Raw genomic sequence first — 19032 nt, 5'->3', positions numbered from 1 at the left:
TGCAAAAGTGTGCTCCTTAATGCTCCTTTCGCAGGCCTCCTTTCCGTCGCCTTCCCCTCCCTTCGCTGCCGCTGTGGTACAGCCCATTCTCGGGCTCAGCACTGGGCGAATCCTCCGCTAGTACGAAGACGACCGGGCTCTCAAGATGGCGGCCCCATGCGGAAACAGCTCCAGGGAGCAGCCATGTTGCTTCCTGAACAAAGCCTCTGAAGATGCGGAACGGGCAAAACCGCCCAGTACGGAACGGCGCAGCCTCGGGAGCCCGGTGTGGTGCTCGCGGACAGGAAGCAGGAGAGTTTGCCAATAGGGATGTGACAGCGGTTCCCATTAAGCGGTGATGGTGGTTTTGGGACCTGATAATCGAGCTGGGAGTCAGAGGCGGGATGTGTGCGGTGAAGGGTGAGTCTGTGGGATTGGTAATGGGAGGAGAGGAGCCCGTGAGGGTCAGTGGTAGGAGGTTTATGAAATCACTGGTGGGGGAAGTAGGTGGGATTAATGTTGGATTTATGTGGGAGTCCGAGATGTGATTAGTAACAGGGAAGTGAGAGGTGAGGGGGTGTCTATTAGGTCAGGAATGGCTTGCAGGTGGACTGACTGGTGGGTTTAACTGGGTTCAGTGATTTAGGGGACTCTGAGGAATCAGTGATGGGAGGCTATGGACTAAATGATGGGGGCGTCCATGTGTTCAGTGATGTGATGGACATGGGGGAGTTCAGTAGGGTATATGATTACTAGGCCTGAGAATTCCGAGATTTAGATGGGGACAGTAATGGGGCCACGGTGTCATGGTGGTCAGCCACATTTTACTGGGGAAGGCCTTTACTTAACGTTAAATTTCCACAGGTCATAGGCAACTGTTTGAGTTCTTAAAGGTCAACCCCTTTTCACATCTTTTCTTAGTCTACCATTGCCCACTAAGCATTTCTGATGGTACCCCCATCAAATGGTCATTTTAAAACAAGACCAAACAAATCAAAACTGATAAAATCATAATTAAAAGTTTGATTTCAGTTCTCCACTTTCTAAGTTTATTTAAATCATTTTATATTTTATTCAAGAGACATTTATTGAGCATCTGCGGGATATCCAGAGATGAGTATGATTGTTTCTTTTGTTTCCTTCCAGATGTTTTGATACCCCCATATAAAATAATCTGTCTGTCATGGGAGCCCCCACGTCCTCTGAAATAGTTCAGCTCTGTCTGCATGACTTGTCCTGGGACTGAGGAAAATTTACCAGGTATTTACCTTCCTGCATTGTGGTATACTCTTTTTTTTTCCAGTGGTTCCAACCTATCACCATTTTTGTATACAGACAATAGAGCTGTTGAAAAAGAGCAATAAAAATTTAAACAGAAAACATCTTAAAATTAACCTTTGAGTTCATGCACATTGATTTAGCAAGAGTTTTCTAAGTTGGGGGAAAATATAAGAGAGTTCTTGGAAAATTGTTGGAATTCAGCTGCTGGTTCTTTTTAGGAATAGGGAACACATGCCTCAGTTTTCCATTTGGTCATTCCCATTCTTACTGCCAAGGAGCTCCATCTTCACTTATATCCTTATATAGCTATCCATGATTATTGCCTCATGAAAATCTTCTATAAATAGAATTGCTGATTCCCAAGGGGAACAGTAAGTTGTTAGTAAATCAACTGGAAACATATCTTCACATCTATCCAATTATAAAACCTTGGTCAACTTCTATGTGATCATATTATAGGTACAAGAGGAGTAAAGAATGATCCCTCCTCCACATGGTGCCTGCTGAGACTTCTGTAAGGCTCAAACAACCTTATCCCACAGGGTAGCCCATTAGTTACTTGACTTCTGATGTTAGTTGTTGCAAGATTGGTGAATGTGAAAGCTGCAGTCTGGGTTTGGACTATGAAAAACATTCTGATCACCAGTTTTGCTTTTTCAGTCATCTGGCCTTTTGGAAGAGCAAAAAATGATGAAGTCCCAGGTGAGTTGCTTTTTAAAAAAAAAAAAAATTCTTCTTTGGTTTTTCATACAATCAAATGGAAAGTAAAGTTAGCTAAAATCTGGATGAAGGAAAAGGTGGTAACAACAAAGATCAAGACCTCGAAAGAGTTTCTAGGTAATATGTAAAAAACCTGGCTGGCAACCATTTTTATAAATTAATGTACTAATTGTTCTGATCTTACTTGCAGACATCATGAGTTACACGATTTGCATTTCCCTAAAGAGAAAGATAAATTTCCCATGTTAAGAAAATGTTTCTAGCCATATAAGACTAAAAATAAATTCCTTTTTGGCTTTTACTCTAGGAGGTGGAGTGCACAGTGTTCTCACCAACACTCCTTTGCTAAATGCCACAGTAGGTTTCTTGTAGTGGTGTCTTAAAACGATCTTTTTTAGAGGGGATGTATCATAATGTCTAGCCAAACTCCTTGAACCTTATTCTTGAGTGAGGGTTGGCAAATTATTGCCATGGGCCAAATCCCATTCTCCAACTGTTTTTATAAAGAAAGTTTTATGGAGCACAGCCATGCTGTTTGTTTACATGTTGTCTATAGCTTTTTTCTAGCTACAATGGCAGAGTTGAGTAGTTACAACAGAAACCGTATGGCCTGCAATGCCAAAAATGTAAACTTTACTGAAAAAGTTTGTTGACCCCTGCTTTCAAGGAACAAATTGATTACAGATGCTTCCTATTGTCCAGCTTTATCCACAGGTAAATTCATTAACGTAAGATAGGCACATTTTGAATGTTTTTCTAAACTATGTATTTCTCTCAAAAAAGCCATTCTTAAATTATATTTATCTGGCAAATCTTTGGAGGGCAAAGGTCCCTGATGCTCCATATCTTTTGCTGTGCTTTCAGAATTTGTAGGATTAGTGTCAAGTTCAAGGCTGTTCCTTCTTTGCTCTCCCATTTTTAAAAGTTTGTATTATTTTTTCTTTCTGCCAGCATTGGCATATAAACATTTAAAATTATATAAAAGATAAAAATTTAAAACAGAGAGACCTTTTAACTTAAACTCACCTTCTCCCAGGATAATCAGTGTTAACCATTGCTTCTAACCTTCCAAACCTTTTTTGATATGAATATAACTGTGATTGATTAACAGTTTATATGTAGAAGTACAAATGTGTGAGAATGTCTCTTATTTTCTTGCGCTTTTCTTTTGGAAAAAGAAGGTTATAGTAAATATTTTGTTCTGCAACCTGATTTTTAACTTACTGTCCAATATAAAGGTCTTTTGTATACACTTAGAATATCTTTTTCCATATCAGTACATAGAATTCTCCTTTACTATTTTATCAGATGCATAATATTTCCTTGTGGCCTGGTTGCCTGGGATTGTTTCTTCATCTTACAGATAGAGATTATAATCCCCATAGGGTTGTTGTGAGAATTGAGTAAAAACCATGCTTAAAACCATAACTGGGGCATGGTTTGTACTGATATATTTAAGTGTCAGCTGTTATTACATCATCATTATGATTATCGTTGTGAAATCTTGAAATCAGCTTTTACATTAGGAGTCCTTGTGTATATTTTACAGTAGAGTTTAGAGTTCTATTGCAAAAAGATTTTTTCATTGTTGTTTTTGTTTTTGGATTTCAGTAGCTTTGTTTTAGAGCCGTGCTGTCTAATATAGTAGCCATCAGCCAAATGTGGTTACTGAACACTTGAAATTGGCTAGTCTGAATTGAGATATGTTAAGTACATACCAGATTTCAAAGTTATATTTCCAAAAAACTCACTAGTAGTTTTTAAGGATTCCATGTTGAAACGATATCTTGAGTAATATATGGGAATAAATGTATATTATTGAAAATAATTTTTTGAATGTGGTTCCTAGAAAATGTAAACTTACCTATCTGGTTAGCTTTATATTTCTGTTACACAGCACTGCTTTGAGGGAGAATGGATTTTTTACTTAGCCCAGTAAATCCAACTGCTGTGGCTAATTAGTTGATTAAATGCTTCTTCCTTCAGGAAGAGGGCTGTATATTAGTTCCCTACCATCCAGAAGTGAAGTCGTTTTTACACATATCCTCCTTTTCAGCCTTTAACACCTACTTCCCTTTCATTTCTTCCATCACTTAATAGCACTTCCATTTCCCCAGGGACCTGAGCTGTAAAAATTGTTTGTAGTTGACAAAAGTATAATTTTTCACTGATTATGTACTATATTTTCCTCAAAATTAAGAAATTTATACCTACTTATTATTTTGAAGCATTTGGGTATCATTAATAAAGCAAAATCAGAATGTTAGAATGATAACATCTATGAATTTACCTCTCAGAATGGATTTCCTCTGTATTCCACATTTATTATCTTTCTTATGTTACTTTTCTTCAGATAAAACAAATTAGACTAATACACAAAACAGTGTTTAACTAAACATAAGTTTTAATTTATTTTTTCTTTATAATCATGATTCATTTAACAAACGTTTCTTAAGTACCCAGTATATGTCATATGCACTGGCTAGCTGTTGAATATCCTGAGCAGATTTACGTATAGTTTTCTTCTGGAAGGACTGCAGAGAAAAAAGAGATGTAGAAACCAACATTAACACATCGGCAGAGATGTAAAGAGATGTAGAAACTAACATTAACACATAAAAGTTCTGTAGCAGACATGGGAGCAGGTACTGTTATAGCAGAGAGGGGGGAACAACCAGATTTCTAAGGAAGTAGGTAATAGGCTTAAATGATTATTGAACTTTGGCTCATGAGGGAAGTAGGCTGAGGACAGGAAGCAGCATTTGTAAAAGTAGAAAGGGCAGAGTGATTTTAGGAAGGCTGAGAATTTTGAAACTAAAATGGAGAGTGCTTCATGGAAAGGTCGACTAAGGTTGGTATTGAAGTGATAAAATATAAAAGATCATGATGTTTACAGTATCAGGGAGGCAGTTTGGACTGCAGTAGTCAAGAACCTAGACTATTGAGAATAAATCTTGCAGATAAGAGAGTTCATCAATCATATATTTAGTATGTAATCATCTTTGGCAAGTATTTACTTAACCACTGTAATCCTCAGTTTTCTTATATGTACAATAGGAAAATTAACAGGATTGTTATGGACAACTAACTGTTTGGCAGCTTGACAGAGTGAATATGGAATTGGTGTGGGATGAGAGAAAGCTTGAGATTTGAGATGACTGAGATGAGACTGTGTTAGCAAAGAAGAAAACAAAGGAGGCTTTTAAGCAGGCAATGTTGACATTTGAAATAATCATTTTCATTCTGAAAGTGGTGTTTGGTAATTATGGAATATTTGGGGAAAAAGTCTGAACAATTTATTTAAAATAATACAGATCACTATTAGATTAGTTTCTGCTATTAGTTAACAACTATTGTGAGGATAATGGTGACATAATTAAAATAGTCAATGTTCCCTCCAGAAACATTTTATAACTCTACTCTTACCCAAATTCATTTTTGATGTTATGTCACTAATTTGTTGTGGTTTCTTCATTAATGTTTTCTGTACATTTTTGTTGAGTTTATCATTTGGGATTCCTTATTTTTTGTTGCTACTGTAATTGGTATATTCATTCTATTACTAACTATTGTATGTATATAAGAAAGCTATTACATTTGGGGGAAGCTAAGATCATTTTCCTATGAAATAAAGAGATTAGATTAATGATCTTCTAGAGCTCTGACATTCTATGATTCTCTAAATGTAGCTTTTCTTTTTTTAAAAAAAAATGTACTTACAAAGGGCATTTCTGCTCTATAATCATTAATTAAAATTCTCCTGTGTCTTATTTTGTTACTTTTATGGCCTTTAGTACTTTTTAGAGTTTAAATTTTTATTCCATCAGAATCTATTCTTTTTCCCAGGTATTATATAGTGTATTGGTTTGCTAGGATTGCTGTGACAAAGTACCACAAACTGGGTGGCTTAAACAATAGAAATTTAGTCTCATAGTTCTGGAGGCTAGAAGTCCAAAATCAAGGTTGTTCTTCAGGACTGTGAGGGATGTATTTGTTTCATGCCTCTCTCCTTGGCTTCTTTATAACTATCTTCTTTTTTCTCTTTGCATTATCTTCCCTCTATGCATGTCTTTGTGTTCAAATTTCCCCCTTTGGATGAGGACACAGATCATATTGGATTCAGTTTCACCCTAAATACCTCATATGGCTAGGTATATCTGCAATGACCCTGTTTCCAAGTCATATCACATTTTGAGGTACTGGGGGTTAGGACTTCAACATATAAATATTCAGGAGATACAACTCAACCCATAATATTTCTTCAGCATTATTCTTTTCCTCTTTACTATTCATTGTTTCAAAACGATTCATCCAATAATCCATCTTCCTCCCAGTTATTTGGATGCTGCCTTTAAAATGTATGAAATTACTATATGTATTAGGTAGGCATTTTATGGTTTACCTCTTTTTTTCTCCTCATATGCCTGGCTCTGCTTGCTAAAAACAGGATTTTATTTTGTTTTTCCCAAAAACTATTATACAAAACTAGGTGTGGATGTAGTTGTGCACATTATAGCAGAAATTATGAGAATGATCATTTCAGATTGAACAGGAATTTACTATTACAGGGGTTAGTATCATTCAAGGATGTGGCTGTGGATTTCACCCAGGAGGAGTGGCAGCAACTTGACCCTTCTCAGAGGACCCTGTACAGGGATGTGATGCTGGAGAACTACAGCCACCTGGTCTCAATGGGTAAGGATGGCTTCCCTGAATAACTCAGAGTTGTCCAATCAAGTGCCTTTCCTTACTAGTTGCTGTGATTAGATTGTTCCTGACATATGTCATGACTTTTATGACCTTCATACCTTTGCAAATGGAGGTTATGCCTTTGTTGAGGGCTAACTGGACAGCTTTATTGTAGACCATCTGAAACTGCACCTTCTCTTTTTCCTTCAGTGCAGTCAATCTCAATTCTCTGTGATTTCTGTTTAATAGGGTATCCAGTTTCCAAACCAGATGTCATCTCCAAGTTGGAACAAGGAGAAGAGCCATGGATCATAAAGGGAGACATATCAAATTGGATCTATCCAGATGAATATCAGGCAGATGGGAGACAAGGGAAGTGAAATATCAATTTATGTTTTTTTAATTGATTGGTGCCTGAGGTTTATGTTTCTATCCTTATCAAAATCTCCTATTCTTTGCTTCTATGCTGAGAATTTAGTAGTCACTCAACAAGTAATTGTGAAGCCTTTCAGAGGAGTTCTATTTGTTGTTGATCCTGTCTCTTGTGTGTATATATATATGTTTATATTTGTTGTCTTTCCTGAAAGGGTTTTAAAGGCAATAGAAGGCAAATTCCTTTCAAGAACACAAGCTGTGCTTTAAAAGGCAATATTCCCAGATAAATGACTGTATTAAATTAAATGTCAAATACAGTTACTGTTTTAGAAGTTCAGAGAAAATTAAGAGTCTAAAGAGATGTGAGCGTATTTGAGAAACATTTTTCAGAGCATGCAACTGTAACTGCTCTGAATGACATAAATGCTGATGAGGCTGAAGGAGGAGGGTGAAGGCAAGCAGTGTTGGAGAGAGAGTATATGAACAAAACCTTAGGGTCAGGAAGATACAGCTTTTCTGGGAGAACTTTACTAGTTTTACTTGACATGTATAGAAAGTAGTTTATTGGGAGTAGTGGAATTTACGTCTGTATTCTCAGTTTGACTCTGATACTGAATCTGTAGCAGGATATTGGATTTTTCTATTATTTGTTAGTTGTTAGGAAAATAGATGGAGGAGAGTTAAAGTATTTTGCATACAGAAGATACCTTGTTTTTTAGAGTGATGGTAGGATAATAAGAATGTGTAGCACATGATTTATAATATAAATGAAATTAAAAGGTGAAAAGGGGTTTCTATTCAGAAAGCAGAAGTGAAATATTCTAGAAGAATAATCAAAAATTAGTGATGAGACCCCACTTTTTCATCTCTTTTAAGTTTAGTTTTTACATGAATATTTCTGTTTAACATTCTTGTCTGTCTATTCACCTGATAACACTATATGCTGTACTGTCTTCTGAGATGACCTGTTTCCATCCTTTTTTTGTGAGTTCATCTACTATGTTGGATCATCCATTTGTTCTACTTCTTTACCCTCTTAATTGACTCTTGTGATGACTCTTAAATTGTATCTTTTCTTCTTTTAGACAGGAAGAGTAACCTTCACAACTCCCAGTCATGTATTTTGGGGACAGTTTCCTTCCATCATAAGATACTGAAAGGAGTCACAAGGGATGGTTCATTGTGCTCCATTTTAAAAGTCTGTCAAGGTGATGGTCAGCTGCAGAGATTTCTAGAGAATCAAGACAAACTCTTCAGGCAGGTCACATTTGTTAACAGCAAAACAGTGACTGAGGCATCAGGGCATAAATATAATCCACTGGGGAAAATATTTCAAGAGTGCATAGAAACAGATATATCAATACAGAGATTCCATAAATATGATGCTTTTAAAAAGAACTTAAAACCAAATATTGACCTACCGAGTTGTTATAAGAGCAATTCAAGAAAAAAACCTGATCAGAGTTTTGGAGGTGGAAAATCATCTAGCCAGAGTGAGCCCAATTCTAATCTTGAGAAGATTCACAATGGAGTAATACCTTTTGATGATAATCAGTGTGGAAACGTTTTTAGAAATACACAATCCCTTATTCAATATCAGAATGTGGAAACTAAAGAGAAAAGCTGTGTATGTGTTACATGTGGAAAAGCCTTTGCTAAGAAGTCACAACTCATTGTACATCAAAGAATTCATACTGGAAAGAAACCATATGATTGTGGTGCATGCGGAAAAGCCTTCAGTGAGAAGTTTCATCTTGTTGTACATCAGAGAACTCATACTGGGGAGAAACCTTATGATTGTTCTGAATGTGGAAAAGCCTTCTCTCAGAAATCGTCCCTTATTATACATCAGAGAGTTCACACTGGGGAAAAACCCTATGAATGTAGTGAATGCGGGAAAGCCTTCTCCCAGAAATCACCCCTCATTATACATCAGAGAATACATACTGGGGAAAAACCCTATGAATGTAGAGAGTGTGGGAAGGCCTTTTCCCAGAAGTCACAGCTGATTATACACCACAGAGCTCATACTGGAGAGAAGCCGTATGAGTGTACCGAATGTGGGAAAGCCTTCTGTGAGAAGTCCCACCTCATTATACATAAAAGAATTCACACTGGTGAGAAACCCTACAAATGTGCTCAATGTGAGGAAGCCTTCAGCAGGAAGACAGAACTCATTACACATCAGTTAGTTCATACTGGGGAAAAACCTTATGAATGTACTGAATGTGGAAAGACATTCTCCCGCAAGTCACAGCTCATCATACATCAGAGAACACATACTGGAGAAAAACCCTATAAATGTAGTGAATGTGGCAAAGCCTTCTGCCAGAAGTCACATCTCATTGGACATCAGAGAATTCACACAGGAGAAAAACCTTATATATGTACTGAATGTGGGAAAGCCTTCTCTCAGAAGTCCCACCTTCCGGGACACCAGCGAATTCATACAGGAGAGAAACCTTACATATGTGCTGAATGTGGAAAGGCCTTTTCTCAGAAGTCAGACCTTGTTTTACATCAGAGGATTCATACTGGGGAAAGACCCTATCAATGTGCTATATGTGGGAAGGCCTTCATCCAGAAGTCACAACTAACTGTACACCAGAGAATTCACACAGTGGTAAAATCATAATGAACTGGCCACAGAAAAGCCTTAGTATTAGCTCAAGCCTTAATAATTACTAGAAACCCAATTAATTTGATAAGCTTGGGGACAACATCCCAATAGATAAAAATTTTTAAGGGAATTTGTTTCTAGTTTGGTGATGCCTAACTTTTCCAGCAAAGATGATGGAAAATAGTTATATAAATGAAGAACATTTTTAATATGGCATGTAAAGCTTTTAAAGTTATGAACTCAGTGATCAGCACAGCAAGTTAAGCATACAGAATATTGTCAAGTTGCATATTCCTTATACTACAAAATGATAATCAGCCATTGTGAAACTGCTAATATTAGCTTGTCATAATTATGGCCATAAACTAATTTTTCTATAAAAGACGTGGAAGAAAGCTTAAGTAAACAATAAAATAAAACCTATACACTATTTTAAGAAGGGGCTTGAGCATGACCCCTAAAGCTACATGTAAAGTTCTTGTACAAAAAATGGAATGATAGGTTGATCAGATTCAGTAAAGTTGATCTGTATGCATTTTCCCATCTCAAGCATATAAGTTGACCTGCATCTCTGGAAGGACCTTGAGATTGATGCATTTTGAGCAGGTCTCCCTTTTACTCTTCCCAACTGGGAACTTGGAGCTGAAAAACATTGGCACTGAGGCCAGATGGCCTTGGGTTTAATCCTGGCTCAGTGCCTCACAGATTGTGTGACTTTAGGCAAACATACTTCTCCTAGCTGAGTATTTTTTATCAGTAAGTACAAATACAATGCAGAGCTCATTTTCAGTTAATATTAGTACTTTTTAAATCTTTACTCTCTATCTTGAAGCATTAGATGTTAAGACTAATGTGTAAAAACCACGTCTGAGCTTGCTTTTCCCTCTGGACACTCTGCTTTTGATTGCCTATCCCTATAAGTGGCTCATTTTACTGTCTTCTGATCCTGGTGGCCTTATTTTTGCTATGTTAAGGTTGTGTTTTTTAATACTTGGATTTATTTTCATATACTTACATAAACCGTGGTGATTGCACATAAAGACCCTGCCTAATGTCTCTTCACTTCTTTGTGATCCTTTCCCTGAAGCCCCAACTGTTTGCCCTGAAAACTTACAGGGGAAAACTCTTGGTGTGAGAAGTAATGCCTGTATAGCCTTGAGAACTGGAGGCCTCTAAGATAACACCTACTATCTGTCATTCCATCCATTCCCCCATAAGCATTTTTAGATGAGCACCCTTGCTGGAAGTGACCTGCAGGAGAGCATACTTGGCAAGGATGAGAATACCTGTGTGATAAACACAGCATCTGCACATATTTCCTGCTTGATTTCCTATCCACTTGATCCCCTTCCTGCTTGGCTAAACTGTCTGTTGTGAAAACATGGGGCTCCTCTAGTTGAGAACAACTGTAGAGTAGAGGGCACACTGGACAGGGATGTGGGAACTGAGAATTAAAGATGCCATTCACTGGACAGGGATGTGGGAACTCAATGTTAAAGATATCACTCCCCCCACATCCCAGGTGATTTATATATTGTTGGGGTGGGAAAAGAGAAATCCAAAAGAGCAAACCCATTCATAAAATGGATCTGCTAATTTTATTGTTGAATAACAGAAATAAAAATACTATGTAGCATTTGGGTAGCTAGCACATGGCTATAAAACTAGTGGATTTTTAGCTCTATTTATATGGAACTGAAGCTACAGTTGTGTGGAACTAAGCTTCCCCTCTGTTGGTAAATGGCAGATACCTAGTTTTCATCAATAGTTACATTGAGCTTACTCTGATGTCTTGTTTTGCATAATTCTTTTATCAGGCTTACTCTGATGGTCTGTTCTTTATATATTTTTTAATCTGTGCATCCTATGGTTGCCCTGACAGTGTATCTAATACGTGTGATTAGTCATATTCTTCACTCCTCAACAAAATTACATCAGTTTTTCACAGTAGTCAATGAACCTTATATCAACACCTCAACAACCTTTTTTATAAAAATCTTATAATTTGGTTCTAAAATGATATACAGAAATGCCCCAAGGCAAGAGTAGCTAAGACACTTTTGAAGAACAAATTTGGATAACTTATTAGACTTCTTATAAAACAGTGGTAATTAAGGCAATGTGGTGTTACACGAGTAATCATGTAGATCAATGGTAAAAGAGAATCTGAAAACTGATAATTACCTGTAGACACTTGAATTATGACAAAGTTGGCATTCTAGAACAATGGGAGGAAACTCACCTTTTCAGTAATGCCTCTGGCTCAGTTATCCAAATGGGTAAAACAAAGAAAAAACAAATTTACTGCATACCATTCACAAAATTTACTCTGCCTAAACCTATAATAGAGGACAATGTATAGCAGTAAGTATAGATCAGGCAAAAAGAAAGCCTGAAAATACCTAAGCAACAGTCTCAATAGGTTAGAATAAAAAAACGCTGTGATCTAACTCCAAAAAAATAAAAAGGACATGATAAAAATAAAAGAAGATGAAGAAATAGGAAAACACACAAAATAGGAACAACAAAACAAGAAAATTGTGGCTCATGTCCGTAATCCCCATACTTTAAGAGGACAAGGTGGGAGGACACCTTGACCCCAGGAGCTCAAGGCTGCAGTGATTGCACCACTGCACTCCAGCCTGGGTGACAGAATGAGACCCTGTCTCAAAAAAATGTATTGTAGATTGAAAAAATAATAAACCTTTAAGTAAACTGGGAATAAAGGGCAGCCTCCTCAAATAGTTAAAGGGCATAGATAAAAAACCTACAGTAAACATCATATTTAATGGCTGGAAAAAGGCAAGAATATTTACTTGACTCTTTCTAGTTAACATTACACTGGTGAATTTAGCCAGTGCAATAAGAAAAGCAAAGTAGGGAGTGGGCTTGCAACCTGGAAAGGAAGAGATAAAAGTGTTGTTATTTGTAGACAACATATCCTTCTATGTAGAAGATCTCAAAACTGCACAAAATATTTACTAGACCTAATAAACAGGTTTTGCAAAATATCTAAATAATTTGGAGAGATTAATTAAAACTCAGATATTCTGATTCTAGAGTCTACACACTTAACAATTATGTTATGCTGCCTCTCCTGCCTCCCTTTCCCTTCTGTAATTAACACAGTTAATCTTCCACACCGTTTTCTGAATTGGTTCATGATACATGATGCTTGCATGCAGATGCTCCTATTATTTAGCCAAACTTCAATATTGAAAAAAAAAAACTCCATAAAAACACTTAATGTCACCATTTAATAAAAAATTTAATCTTAATCCTTATGTTTTAGTGTTCAAAAATGACTTATACATCCTGACAGTGAGATAGTTTATTGGGAATACAGACCTATGATAATCATGTTGGATCTTTAAATGAGTTAAGATGATTCTTATCTGCAGAACATTGGGGATGTGATTGATGCTAAATATTCAGTGAATGCCCTGAGCTTTGACCCTGTAGGATTGGAAAGTATAGAAATTTAGTCCCTTGGGAGTTGTGTTCTGGTTGATGATACTCTTTTTTTGCTAGTTTGCCAAAAAATTAAAAGATCCTGGCCCTGGATTTTGTTGTTGAGAAGACCAACAGGAAGCTTGATTTAATGTCTAACACTGCTTTGAAATTCCACATCTACGGAAAATCTCAGCGTGTTCATGGATGTGGCTGCCTGAAAAGTGCCATATCATACACAATTACAGCTGCCAGAGATAGGCCAAAATCAGTGCCTGTCATTGGAATGGCTACATGGTCATCTGCTGGCAAAACATGGTCATGTTCATATTGTCTCTTTTACTATACATGAAGTGGCACAATATAACTTGGCAGTAGATTGGGAAAAGCTAAAAATGTGTAGTACAAATGCTAAACCACTAAAATAACAAAACAGAGTTATAGCTTAAATCCAAAAAGAAGAGAAGTAATCATAACAAATAATCCAAAACAAGGTAGAAAAAGAACAAAAAACAGAACAAATAGAAAACAAAATGATAGTCTTAATCTAATGATATACTCAGATTAAACATAAATGATCTAAAGACACCAATTAGGGGAAGAGATTGTCATATTAGATAAAAACGCAGAGACTATATGCTGCCTACAAGAAACACACTTTAAATGTAAAGACATAAATGGATTCAAAGTAAAAGAATGGAAAAAAGATATACTATGATAACACAAAAGAAATCTGGAAGGCCTATGTTAATATCAGATAAAATATATTTCAGGATAAATACTAACTAAGAGATTTTTAAAAGACCAGTTCATAGTGATAAAGGAATCAGTTTATCATGAGAACATAATCCTAAACACTTATGCACTTAATAGCAGAGCTTCACCATACATGAAGCAATAACTGATAAAACTTCAAAGGAAAAATAGACAAATCCACAATTACAGTTAGAAATTTCAATACATTCTCACTAATTGAGAGAATGAGAAGATAATTAGTAAGGTTATAGTAGGTAGACTTGAACAGCAAAATCAACCAATTTGACCTAGTTGACATTTGTAGAACATCCCACCCCAAAATGGTACAATACACATTTTTAAGTCCATGTGAAGCATTTACCAAGACAGAGCAATAAATTTAAAAGGTAAGGTGACTCATTCTCATGTGATTCTAATTTAATTCATTAGAAATCAATTACATTAGAAATAAATAACATGAAAATATGTGGAAAATACCAAATATATGGAAAGTAATAACACATTTCTAAATAACCCATTAGTCAAAGAATGAATCAAAAAGGAAATGAAGCATTTTGAACTTAATGAAAATAAAAACACAACTATATCAACATTTGTGAAATGTCCGTAAAGTAGTTCTTAAAGAGAAATTTAAAGTGCTAAAGGAATGCATTAGAAAAGAAGAAAAGTCTCAATGAATCAGTTTCTACCTTAAGAAGATAGGAGTAGGAAAAAATGAAATGCATTATAAACAGCAGAATGATTGGTTCAAAGCATAAATTAAATAGAAAAAAAGAAAATACATCAAAAGCTGACTGTTTGAGAAGATAGATATGTCAGACTCAGGAAAAAAGAGAGGACACAATTATTCAAATCAGAAATGAGAGAAGTGACATTACTACAGACTTTACAGACATACAAAAAAATAATAAGGGAAGATTATGAACATCTTAATACCAATAAACTTGATAACAGATGAAGTGGACAAATCCTTTGAAAGATACAAACTACCACACCTTACTCGAGAAGAAATAGATATTAACATAAATAGTCCTATATCAATTTTTAAAATTCAACTTGTAGTGTAAAACCTTATCAAATTCAGGATCATAGACCTTCACTGGTGAACTGTCTCAAACCAAACAATATTTAAAGAGGCAACAATTCAAATTCTATACAAGCTTTTCCACAAAATTGAAGAGGAAGGGATAGTTCCCAATTCATTATATTAGGTCAGCATCACCATGATACAAAACCAGAAGATATTATAAGAAAATAAAACTACAGACCAATATCCCTCATAACTATTGATGCAAAAGTCTAAACAATAATATCACATTATATAAAAAGGATAATACATCAAGACCCAAGTAGGTTTTCTCTCAGAAATGCAAGGTTAGATTAACATTTGAAAATCAATCAATGTAAGTCACCACATTAGCAAACAAAAAGGGAAACCATATTATCTCAAAAGATGAAAAAAAGTATTTGACAAAAATCATCTAAAAAGGAACTTCTTCATAGATAAAAAGGAAGTGAAAACCCTACAGTTAATATCATATAGTGAAAGACTGAGTGTTTTTTTAAAATAAAGAACAAAGCAAGGATGTCTTCTCTGTCATTTCTAGTGATCAATATACTGGAGGTCCAAGGCAGTACAATAGCCAAAAAATGGCATTCAGTTTGGAAAAAAAGAAGTAAAACTCTATTTGCAGATGATATGCTAGTTGATATGGTTTGGCTGTGTCCCCACCCAAATCTCATCGTGAATTGTAGCTCCCACAATTCCCACATGTTGTGGGAGGGACCTGGTGAGAGGTAATTGAATTATGGGAGCAGGTCATTCCTGTGCTATTCTTGTGATAGTAAATAAGTCTCATGAGCTTTGATGGTTTTATAAAGGGGGAGTTTCCCTGCACAAGTTCTCTTCTCTTGTCTGGCACCATGTGAGATGTGCTTTTCACCTTCTGCCATGATTGTGAGGCCTCCCCAGCCATGTGGAACTGTGAGTCCATTAAATCTCTTCCTTTTGTAAACAGCAGAGTCTTGGGTATGTCTTTGTCAGCAGCATGAAAACGAACTAATACGGTCATGTATGTAAAAAATTTTAAATCTTGAAAAAAAATACTAACAACTAATATTTGAGATTAGTAAGATCTTAGGATACAAGGTCAATAGACAAAACTCCACAATAAACAATCAGAAATTGAAATTTGAAAACAATACTACTTGCAATAGCATTTAAATATGAAACATGAATAGACATAATAAAATATGTGACAATTATAGAACATTGCTGAAAGAAATTTAGAAGGACCAAAATAGAGAAATAGATCTAGTTTATTGGTTGGAAGGCTCAATGTTGTTAAGATATTAATTCTCCCCAAATTCGTCCATAGATTTAACACAATCTCTATCAAAATATCAGCCAATATTTTTTGTGTAAAATTCAATGAACTGCCTTAGCTGTGTCTCAGAGATTCTGGTATGTTGTATCTTCGTTTTCATTAGTTTCAAAGAACTTCTTGGTTTCTGCCATAATTTCATTATTTACCCCATAGTCATTCAGAACCATGTTAATTTTCATGGTTTTGAGTGATTTTCTCAGTCTTGACTCCTATTTTTATTATTCTGTGGTCTGAGAGTGTGTTTGGTATAATTTTCGTTCTTTTGCATTTGCCAAGGATTGTTTTATGTCAAATTATGTGGCCAATTTTAGAGTGTGCACCATGTGGCAATGAGAAGAATGTATATTCTGTTATTTTTGGGTGGAGAGTTCTATAGATCCATTCTATCAGATCCATTTGGTCCAATGTTGAGTTTGGGTCCTAAATATCTTTGTTAATTTTCTGCCTCAATGATCTATCTAACAATATCAGTGGAGTGTTAGAGTCTCCCACTTTTATTATGTGGGAGTCTGTGTCTCTTTGTAGGTCTCTAAGAACTTGCTTTTTTTGTGTTGGCTGCATTTATATTTAGGATAGTTAGACCTTCTTGTTGAATTGAACCCTTTACCATTATGTAATGCCCTTCTTTGTCTTTCTAAATCTTTGCTGGTTTAAAGTCTGTTTTTCGTTTGTTTGTTTGTTTTTTCTTGTCTGAAATCAGAATTGCAATCCCTGCTTTTTTCTGGTTTTCATTTGCTTGGTAAATTTCCCTCCATCCCTTTTTTTTGAGACTATGGGTGTCATTATGTGTGATATGCTCTTGAAGACACCATACCATTGGGTCTTGCTTTTTTATCCAGCGGGCCACTCAGTGCCTTTTAAGTGGAGGCACTTAGCCCATTTACATTCAAGGTTATTGTTGATGTGTGTCATTGTGCTCTTAGCTGGTTATTATGCTGGCTTGTTGGTGTGGTTGGTTTATAGTGTTACTGGTCTCTGTATTTAAGAGTGCTTTGGTATTAGCTGGTAGGAGTCTTTCCTTTCTATAGTTAGCACTCCTTTCAAGACCTCATGTGAGGCAGGTTTAAATCTTTCCTGGCTTGTAAGGTTTCAGCTGAGAGGTCCACTGTTAGCCTGATGAAGTTTTCTTTGCAGGTGACCTGTCATTTCTCTCTAGCTGCCTTTAACAGTCTTTTTTTTTTTTTTTTCATTTTGACCTTGAAAAACCTGACAATTATGGGTCTTGGTGATGATCTTCTTCTGTAGAATCTTGCAGGAGTTCTCTGTAGTTCCTGAATTTAATTGTTGGCCTCACTAGCAAGGTTGGGGAAGTTTTCATGGATGATAGCCTGAAATACATTTTCCAAGTTGTTTGCTTCCTCCCTTTGAAGAATGCCAATGATTCATAGATTTAGACACTTTACATAACTCCATACTTCTTGGAGGTTTTGTTCATTCCTTTTAATTCTTTCCTATTTATTGTTGTCTGATTGTCTCATTTCAGAGAGCCAGTCTTCAAGTTCTGAGATTTTTTCCTCTACTTGGTCTATTCTGTTGTTATTACTTGTGATTGCATTGTGAAATTCTTGTATTGTGTTATTCAGCTCTGTCAGATCCATTAAGTTGTTTTATACCAGCTATTTCATCCTTCCACTCCTGTATTGTTTTATTTTGATTCTTAGTTGTCTTGGATTGGGTTTTGTTGTTCTCCTGAATCTTCATGATCTTTGTTTCTGTCCATATTCTGAATTGCATTTCTGTCATTTCAGCCAGCTCAACCTAATTCAGAACTCTTGTGCAGTGTTAAGAGGGGAATTCATAGCACTAAATGCCCACATCAAAACATTAGAAAGATCTCAAATTAACAACCTAACATCACAATGGAAAAAATTAGAGAAGCAAGAACAAATCCACTCCAAAGCTATCAAAAGACAAGAAATAACCAAAATCAGAGCTGAACTGAAGGAAATCAAGACACAAAAAAAATCATTCAAAAGGTCAATAAATCCAGTAGTTGGTTTTCTTGAAAAAATTGAAAAGAAAGATAGGTCACTAGCTAGACTAATAAAGAAAAAAAGAGGAAACATCAAAATAAACACAATTAGAAATGATGAGGAGAATGTTACCCCTAACCCCATAGGAATAAGAATAACCATCAGAAACTACTTTGAACATCTCTATGCACACAAACTAAAATATCCTAGAAGAGATGGGTAAATTCCTAGACGTATACATGCTCCCAAGATTGAACCAGGAAAAAATTGATTTCCTGAACAGACCAATAATGAGCTCTGAAATTGAATCAGTAACAAGTAGCCTACCAACCAAAAAAAGCCTAGGACTTCATGGATTCACAGGTGAATTCTACTGTATGTACAATGAAAAGCTGGTACCATTCCTACTGAAACTATTCCAAAAAATTGAGGATGAGGGACTCCTCCCCAATTCATTCTATAAAAACAGCATAATTCTGATACCAAAACTTGGCAAGGACACAACAAAAAAAGAAAACTTTAGGCCAATATTGATACACATTGATGCAAAAATCCTCAACAAAATATTTGCAAACCAAATCCAGCAGCACATCAAAAAGCAATACACCACGATCAAGTAGGCTTCATTCCTGGGATGTGAGTTTGCTTCAACATAAGAAAATAAATAAATGTGATTCATCACATAAACGGAACTAAAGACAAAAGCCACATGATTATCTCAATAGATGAAGAAAATGCTTTCAATAAAATTCAACATGCTTTCATCTTAAAAGCTCTCCATAAAATAGATATTGAAGAAACA

At 35.8% G+C, this 19032-nt stretch overlaps 2 protein-coding genes across 6 annotated transcripts in view; one reads left to right on the top strand and one right to left on the bottom strand.

Annotated features, from left to right (window-relative positions):
- ZNF300 (zinc finger protein 300) lies at window positions 123–10704 on the top strand. Of its 4 annotated transcripts, NM_001172831.3 has the most exons (7): window positions 123–399; window positions 1126–1239; window positions 1720–1774; window positions 1921–1962; window positions 6549–6675; window positions 6919–7041; window positions 8130–10704. In NM_001172831.3, the coding sequence occupies exons 3-7, from the start codon at window positions 1754–1756 to the stop codon at window positions 9677–9679; spliced, it is 1863 nt and encodes a 620-aa protein (NP_001166302.1). In that variant the 5' UTR covers window positions 123–399; window positions 1126–1239; window positions 1720–1753; the 3' UTR covers window positions 9680–10704. The 4 variants fall into 4 exon arrangements, with proteins under 4 accessions (NP_001166302.1, NP_443092.1, NP_001166303.1 ...); NM_052860.4 differs by lacking the exon at window positions 1720–1774; NM_001172832.3 differs by lacking the exons at window positions 1720–1774; window positions 1921–1962.
- IRGM (immunity related GTPase M) overlaps window positions 2701–19032 on the bottom strand; it is a 55882-nt gene continuing 39550 nt past the window's right edge. Inside the window, exon 4 of one of the 2 annotated variants that reach the window (NM_001346557.2) lies at window positions 2701–4514. In NM_001346557.2, the coding sequence (NP_001333486.1) occupies window positions 4463–4514 (52 nt within the window). In that variant the 3' untranslated portion in view covers window positions 2701–4462. The remainder of the gene's footprint in view (window positions 4515–19032) is intronic. The other variant, NR_170598.1, reaches the window with a different exon arrangement.

Source organism: Homo sapiens, chromosome 5 (genome assembly GCF_000001405.40).
Source record: "Homo sapiens chromosome 5, GRCh38.p14 Primary Assembly".
Classification (NCBI taxonomy): domain Eukaryota; kingdom Metazoa; phylum Chordata; class Mammalia; order Primates; family Hominidae; genus Homo; species Homo sapiens.
This window is presented reverse-complemented; position numbering and strand designations above follow the sequence as displayed.